The sequence below is a fragment of the Homo sapiens genome, chromosome 7 (assembly GCF_000001405.40).
Source record: "Homo sapiens chromosome 7, GRCh38.p14 Primary Assembly".
In the NCBI taxonomy this organism is placed as follows: Eukaryota; Metazoa; Chordata; class Mammalia; order Primates; family Hominidae; genus Homo; species Homo sapiens.
The window spans coordinates 17,342,769-17,351,266 of NC_000007.14; the positions used below are offsets into that span (position 1 = coordinate 17,342,769).

Consider the following 8,498-nt stretch of genomic DNA (forward strand, 5'->3'; position numbering starts at 1 on the left):
TGTGAAAGATTTAAAATTTAGCAACAGTAAAGGAACTTGAAGTTTACAACTCTCAGGGGTAAGATTTTAAAAATACATGTTAATGTTATTTACTGGCTTAAGATACTTGGAAGATCTATTCCAATAAGTTGCATCACCATTTTTGTTTTCAGTTTCAGAATGGAGTTTTAAATGAAACATATCCAGCTGAATTAAATAACATAAATAACACTCAGACTACCACACATCTTCAGCCACTTCATCATCCGTCAGAAGCCAGACCTTTTCCTGATTTGACATCCAGTGGATTCCTGTAATTCCAAGCCCAATTTTGACCCTGGTTTTTGGATTAAATTAGTTTGTGAAGGATTATGGAAAAATAAAACTGTCACTGTTGGACGTCAGCAAGTTCACATGGAGGCATTGATGCATGCTATTCACAATTATTCCAAACCAAATTTTAATTTTTGCTTTTAGAAAAGGGAGTTTAAAAATGGTATCAAAATTACATATACTACAGTCAAGATAGAAAGGGTGCTGCCACGGAGTGGTGAGGTACCGTCTACATTTCACATTATTCTGGGCACCACAAAATATACAAAACTTTATCAGGGAAACTAAGATTCTTTTAAATTAGAAAATATTCTCTATTTGAATTATTTCTGTCACAGTAAAAATAAAATACTTTGAGTTTTGAGCTACTGGATTCTTATTAGTTCCCCAAATACAAAGTTAGAGAACTAAACTAGTTTTTCCTATCATGTTAACCTCTGCTTTTATCTCAGATGTTAAAATAAATGGTTTGGTGCTTTTTATAAAAAGATAATCTCAGTGCTTTCCTCCTTCACTGTTTCATCTAAGTGCCTCACATTTTTTTCTACCTATAACACTCTAGGATGTATATTTTATATAAAGTATTCTTTTTCTTTTTTAAATTAATATCTTTCTGCACACAAATATTATTTGTGTTTCCTAAATCCAACCATTTTCATTAATTCAGGCATATTTTAACTCCACTGCTTACCTACTTTCTTCAGGTAAAGGGCAAATAATGATCGAAAAAATAATTATTTATTACATAATTTAGTTGTTTCTAGACTATAAATGTTGCTATGTGCCTTATGTTGAAAAAATTTAAAAGTAAAATGTCTTTCCAAATTATTTCTTAATTATTATAAAAATATTAAGACAATAGCACTTAAATTCCTCAACAGTGTTTTCAGAAGAAATAAATATACCACTCTTTACCTTTATTGATATCTCCATGATGATAGTTGAATGTTGCAATGTGAAAAATCTGCTGTTAACTGCAACCTTGTTTATTAAATTGCAAGAAGCTTTATTTCTAGCTTTTTAATTAAGCAAAGCACCCATTTCAATGTGTATAAATTGTCTTTAAAAACTGTTTTAGACCTATAATCCTTGATAATATATTGTGTTGACTTTATAAATTTCGCTTCTTAGAACAGTGGAAACTATGTGTTTTTCTCATATTTGAGGAGTGTTAAGATTGCAGATAGCAAGGTTTGGTGCAAAGTATTGTAATGAGTGAATTGAATGGTGCATTGTATAGATATAATGAACAAAATTATTTGTAAGATATTTGCAGTTTTTCATTTTAAAAAGTCCATACCTTATATATGCACTTAATTTGTTGGGGCTTTACATACTTTATCAATGTGTCTTTCTAAGAAATCAAGTAATGAATCCAACTGCTTAAAGTTGGTATTAATAAAAAGACAACCACATAGTTCGTTTACCTTCAAACTTTAGGTTTTTTTAATGATATACTGATCTTCATTACCAATAGGCAAATTAATCACCCTACCAACTTTACTGTCCTAACATGGTTTAAAAGAAAAAATGACACCATCTTTTATTCTTTTTTTTTTTTTTTTTTGAGAGAGAGTCTTACTCTGCCGCCCAAACTGGAGTGCAGTGGCACAATCTTGGCTCACTGCAACCTCTACCTCCTGGGTTCAAGTGATTCTCTTGCCTCAGCCTCCCGAGTTGCTGGGATTACAGGCATGTGCCACCATGCCCAGCTAATTTTTGTATTTTTAGTAGAAACGGGTTTCACCATGTTGGCCAGACTGGTCTCAAACTCCTGACCTCAGGTGAGCCTCCCACCTTGGCCTCCCAAAGTGCTGGGATTACAGGCGTGAGCCACTGCATTCAGCTCTTCTTTTCTTTAGATATGAGAGCTGAAGAGCTTAGACACATTTTGCATGTATTATTTGAAAATCTGATGGAATCCCAAACTGAGATGTATTAAAATACAATTTTTGGCCGGGTGCAGTGGCTCACGCCTGTAATCCCAGCACTTGGGGAGGGCGAGGAGGGTGGATCACGAGGTCAAGAGATGGAGACCATCCTGACCAACATGGTGAAACCCTGTCTCTACTAAAAATACAGAAATTAGCTGGGCATGGTGGCGTGAGCCTGTAGTCCTAGCTACTCAGGAGGCTGAGGCAGGAGAATAGCCTGAACCTGGGAATCGGAGGTTGCAGAGCCAAGATCGCCCCACTGCACTCCAGCCTGGCAATAGACCGAGACTCCGTCTCCAAAAAAAAAAAAAATACAATTTTTATTTCTTTTACTTTTTTTAGTAAGTTAATGTATATAAAAATGGCTTCGGACAAAATATCTCTGAGTTCTGTGTATTTTCAGTCAAAACTTTAAACCTGTAGAATCAATTTAAGTGTTGGAAAAAATTTGTCTGAAACATTTCATAATTTGTTTCCAGCATGAGGTATCTAAGGATTTAGACCAGAGGTCTAGATTAATACTCTATTTTTACATTTAAACCTTTTATTATAAGTCTTACATAAACCATTTTTGTTACTCTCTTCCACATGTTACTGGATAAATTGTTTAGTGGAAAATAGGCTTTTTAATCATGAATATGATGACAATCAGTTATACAGTTATAAAATTAAAAGTTTGAAAAGCAATATTGTATATTTTTATCTATATAAAATAACTAAAATGTATCTAAGAATAATAAAATCACGTTAAACCAAATACACGTTTGTCTGTATTGTTAAGTGCCAAACAAAGGATACTTAGTGCACTGCTACATTGTGGGATTTATTTCTAGATGATGTGCACATCTAAGGATATGGATGTGTCTAATTTAGTCTTTTCCTGTACCAGGTTTTTCTTACAATACCTGAAGACTTACCAGTATTCTAGTGTATTATGAAGCTTTCAACATTACTATGCACAAACTAGTGTTTTTCGATGTTACTAAATTTTAGGTAAATGCTTTCATGGCTTTTTTCTTCAAAATGTTACTGCTTACATATATCATGCATAGATTTTTGCTTAAAGTATGATTTATAATATCCTCATTATCAAAGTTGTATACAATAATATATAATAAAATAACAAATATGAATAATATGTTTTAATGTAAATTCTTTCTGGTCCACGTAAAGGAAATTATTTATTCTGTAGTATTATAACTATGTTAGATGAGGGCAATCTACAATACTTAGGGATATGTTAAGTCAGTAATTCATAAACTTCTTATACAATTTTGCCCCCCAATGTCTGACCTTTATCTGGATATAAAAAACACTCTCAGTAGCTTCATAAATTAAAATGCTTCTGAAATGAACTTTTTTAAAGCCCTGTGTTATCAGTGTAGTAGTGTGTCTTAGATTAAAATCCAAAATCCTATTTTAATATTTTAAGAATATTTCTGAAGAAATTCGAAATAACCCTTGTTAGCTGTATTTTGTGCTTAGTTTAGAAAAACCATTGCCCAAACTTAGTATTTCTGTTTAATAAGTATAAATGATACAGAAGCCTTTGGCCTTAAATTCATAACTGTTGAACATTCATGGAAAACCCTGCAATTAGAATTGATTGAAGAAGAATTCCTGAGAAAATGTTTTCATTCTTGTGACAGTTATTTTTCTATTAGTTTTATATTTGTTCTTTACAATTAGGCATTTTTCTCAACTAGCATATCATAAGTTAGCATCATACTTAATTCTGAACATTTTAGACTAATCCTGAGTCTTTAAGAATTACATAAAATATTTAGTTTTAACTATTTGATCTGAAAAAAATCAAGTAAAAATCCTGATAACCTGAGTGCATCTCTGCTTGCGCTTAGGTGATTTCTGTCACCATGAATGACTCTAGCTTGTCCAATTTCACCAGCTCTACCAAACACCGACCCAGGGATGTTGGCCACTGACAGGGCTGGATGACATCTCTCATTTCTTTCACTGTCTGCAGATGACCTTGCTTCCGTTTTTACTAATAAAATCAAGGATATCATCCTAAGTTTGTACCTTCACCTCAGCAATTCCTCTATCCTTGGACTTACCTCCAGTATGTGAGGAGGAGAGTTTCCTGAACTCCAGGGTTAGCCCCCGTCCTCTCTCGTTCTCATGCACACAGCTTCGACACCTGCTTTCTGAGAGGCTCTCCTTCTCTGTAGGATTTCCTGTGAATAGGTCCTCCTCCATCCTGGAAAAAAATTACTTGAACCTGCACTTTCTTCTCTATTAAATTACTTCTTTACCTTCTTCCTTTGTAACAACAGTTTTGATCTCCTGAGATCTGGTTTTGTTTTCCATCCTTCCATTATATTGCAGTGTTGCGGTTCACTAAACTTCTTACCATAGGCTCATTTTCTATGGCCCTGCAACCAAACTGATTACACTTTCAATGAACTTTTTTCTTCCCTTCCATGACATTAGTTGTCCTGTAAGCTCCTATTATCCCTTTTCTTTCCTTTGTTAACCACTCTTTCCTCCTCCCACCTGGCAGCAGGCTTAGTTTTGACCATTTGTGGCTCTTTCTGTACATACTGTCTAAGAAGAAGTGATTCAATGCCTTACCTCTGATTGACATTTGTGAAGCAATTCTTTCCCTGAGAGAGCAGCATAGCATAGCCAAACTAAACACACAGACTCTGGAGTCAGACTACTAGGTATAAATCCTGGCTTTGCCACAAATAAGATGTCATTGAGAAGGTTTCTTACTTTCTCTTAGCCTAAGATGCCTTTTCTGTAAACTAAGGCTAACAGTACCTGCCTCACTGGATTGCTGGAGGATTCAGTGATTTATATAAAATCACTTAGCTGCCAGTAGCCAAAACTGGAATAATTTGAGCAACTAAATAAGTGATGATAGCATTAGATTACAGCACAAAGAATAAAGTAAATATCCATGAATCCATACTAATATAAATAAAATGGTTGAAAAATAAATGGGGGAGAAGGAGCACATCTTTCCTATAGAAGAATCCCAAATAATATTGGTAGCTACTATGCCCTCTGATGCATGAGCTTAGTTCTCCTCCCCTGGAAGGATGAGTTAGACTTAATGACTTGCTTTCAAGGAATAGAGTACAGACAGAGAAGAAAATAACTTTACATTGTTGAAATCTGGCAAGCACTACTTTAACCAAGTAATCAAGGTTAACATCACCAGTGAAAAGTCATGTTGATATAACATGTATTATCTGATATGATACTTTGAGAAGTGTACATCTCAAAGCTCCCTGATTTTCTTAAAAACACATAGTCTAATTATGACAAAACATCAAACGCAAATTCAGGGACATTCCACAAAATTTCTGAGAGGATTTTTTAAAGTGTCACTGTCACAGAAAGAGACTGAATAATTATCACAGAGCAGAGGAGGCTAAGGAGGCATGATGACTGAACTTAATGTGATATCTCCGATTGCATCCTTCATAGAAAAAGGGCATTACTGAGAATCTGCAGAACTCTAAGTCTAGTTAATAGTACCACATCATTGTTAATTTTTTGGTTTTGACCAATGTACCATGGCTATACTACGTTAGAGGTACCTGGCTGAAGAGAGTAAAGGAACTCTATATCCTTTTGACTTTTCTGTAAATCTAAAATTATTCCACAGTAGATTTTACTTTTTAATAAAAGTACAGTTTTTATTGCCACATAGCAAGTATCTTTATGTCTCTCATTACTATTTTCCTGTATCTTCACAACCTCCTCTTAGTTGGAGGTAAAGCTATACATTGACATCAGTCCCCATTAACTACTGATTTGACGAATATCTTTTTTTTTTTAATTTAAGTTCTGGGGTACATGTACAGAATGTGCAGGTTTGTTACATAGGTATACACGTGCCATGGTGGTGTGCTGCGCCCATCAACCCGTGATCTACATTAGATATTTCTCCTAATGGTATCCCTCCCCTAGCCCCCCACTGGTGTGTGATGTTCCCCTCCCTGTGTCCATGTGTTCTCATTGTTCAACTCCCACTTATGAGTGAGAACATGCGGTGTTTAGTTTTCTGTTCTTGTGTTAGTCTGCTGAGAATGATGGTTTCCAGCTTCATCCATGTCCCTGCAAAGGACAGGAACTCATCCTTTTTTATGGCTGCATAGTATTCCATGCTGCCAGTTTTCCCAACACCATTTATTAAGTAGGGAATCCTTTCCCCATTGCTTATTTTTGTCAGGTTTGTCAAAGATTGGATGGTTGTAGATGTGTGGTGTTACTTCTGAGGCCTCTGTTCTGTTCCATTGGTGTATATATCTGTTTTGGTACCAGTACCATGCTGTTTTGGTGACTGTAGCCTTGTAGTATACCACATTCTCTTTATCCAGTCTGTCATTGATGGGCATTTGGGTTGGTTCCAAGTCTTTGCTATTGTGAACAGTGCTGCAGTAAACATACGTGTTCATATGTCTTTATAGTAGAATGATTTATAATCCTTTGGGTATATACCCTGGAATGGGATTGCTGGGTCAAATGGTATTTCTAGTTCTAGATCCTCGAGGAATCACCACGCTGTCTTCCACAATGGTTGAACTAATTTACTCTCCCACCAACAGTGTAAAAGCATTCTGATTTCTCCATATCCTCTCCAGCATCTGTTGCTTCCTGACTTTTTAATGATTGCCATTCTAACTGGCATGAGATGGTATCTCATTGTGGTTTTGATTTGCATTTCTCTAATGACCAGTGATGATGAGCTTTTTTTCATATGTTTGTTGGCAGCATAAATGTCTTCTTTTCAGAAGTGTCTGTTCATATCCTTCTCCCACTTTTTGATGGGGTTGTTTGTTTTTTTTTTCTTATACATTTGTTTAAGTTCTTTGTAGATTCTGGATATTAGCCCTTTGTCAAATGTATAGGTTGCAAAAATTTTCTCCCATTCTGTAGGCTGCCTGTTCACGCTGATGATAGTTTCTTTTGCTGCGTAGACGCTCTTTAGTTTAATTAGATCCCATTTGTCAATTTTGGCTTTTGTTACCATTGCTTTTGGTGTTTTAGTCATGAAATCTTTGCCCATGCCTATGTTCTGAATGGTATTGCCTAGGTTTTCTTCTAGGGTTTTTATGGTTTTAGGTCTTACATTTAAGTCTTTAATCCATCTTGAGTTAATTTTTAAATAAGGTATAAGGAAGGGGTCCACTTTCAGTTTTCTGTACCATTGGTGTATATATCTGTTTTGGTACCAGTACCATGCTGTTTTAGTTACTGTAGCCTTGTAGTATGGTTTGAAGCCAGGTAGCATGATGCCTCCAGCTTTGTTCTTTTTGCTTAGGACTGTCTTGGCTATGCGGGCTCTTTTTTGGTTCCATACGAAATTTAAAGTAGTTTTTTCTAATTCTGTAAAGAAAATCACTGGTAGCTTGATGGGGATAGCAGTGAATCTATAAATTACTTTCAGCAGTATGGCCATTTTCACAATCTTTACTCTTCCTATCCATGAGCATGGAATGTTTTTCCATTTGTTTGTGTCCTCTCATTTCCTTGTGCAGTGGTTTGCAGTTCTCCTTGAAAAGGTCCTTCACATCGCTTGTAAGTTGTATTCCTAGGTATTTTATTCTCTTTGAAGCAGTTGTGAATGGGAGTTCACTCATGATTTCACTCTCTATTATTGGTGTGTAGGAATGCTTGTGATTTTTGCACATTGATTTTGTATCCTGAGACTCTGCTGAAGTTGCTTATCAGCTTAAGGAGATTTTGGGTGAGATGATGGGGTTTTCTAAATATATGATCATGTTATCTGCAAACAGAGACAGTTTTACTTCCTCTTTTCCTATTTGAACACACTTTATTTATTTATCTTGCCTGATTGCCCTGGCCAGAACTTCCAATACTATGTTGAATAGGAGTGGTGAGAGAGGGCATCTTTGTCTCGGCCTGAAATTTTCTTTTTTTGTTGTGTCTCAGCCAGCTTTTGATATCAGGATGATGCTGGCCTCATAAAATGAGTTAGGGAGGAGTCTCTCTTTTTCTATTGCTTGGAATCGTTTCAAAAGGAATGGTACCAGCTCCTCTTTGTACCTCTGGTAGAATTCAGCTGTGAATCTGTCTGGTCCTGGACTTTTTTTGGTTGGTAGGCTATTAATTACTGCCTCAATTTCAGAACTTGTTATTGTTCTATTCAGGGATTCAACTTATTACTGGTTTAGTCATGGGAGGGTGTATGTGTCCAGGAATTTATCCATTTCTTCTAGATTTTCTGTTTTATTTGTGTAGAGGTGTTTATAATAT

At 35.6% G+C, this 8,498-nt stretch overlaps 1 protein-coding gene across 1 annotated transcript in view; it reads left to right on the forward strand.

Annotated features, from left to right (window-relative positions):
• The window catches only part of AHR (aryl hydrocarbon receptor), a 47,496-nt gene extending 44,117 nt beyond the window's left edge, over window positions 1–3,379 (forward strand). The window contains exon 11 of the mRNA NM_001621.5: window positions 153–3,379. Coding sequence (NP_001612.1) covers window positions 153–296 — 144 coding nt within the window. The 3' untranslated portion in view covers window positions 297–3,379. The remainder of the gene's footprint in view (window positions 1–152) is intronic.
• The last annotated feature ends 5,119 nt before the right edge of the window (window positions 3,380–8,498 follow it).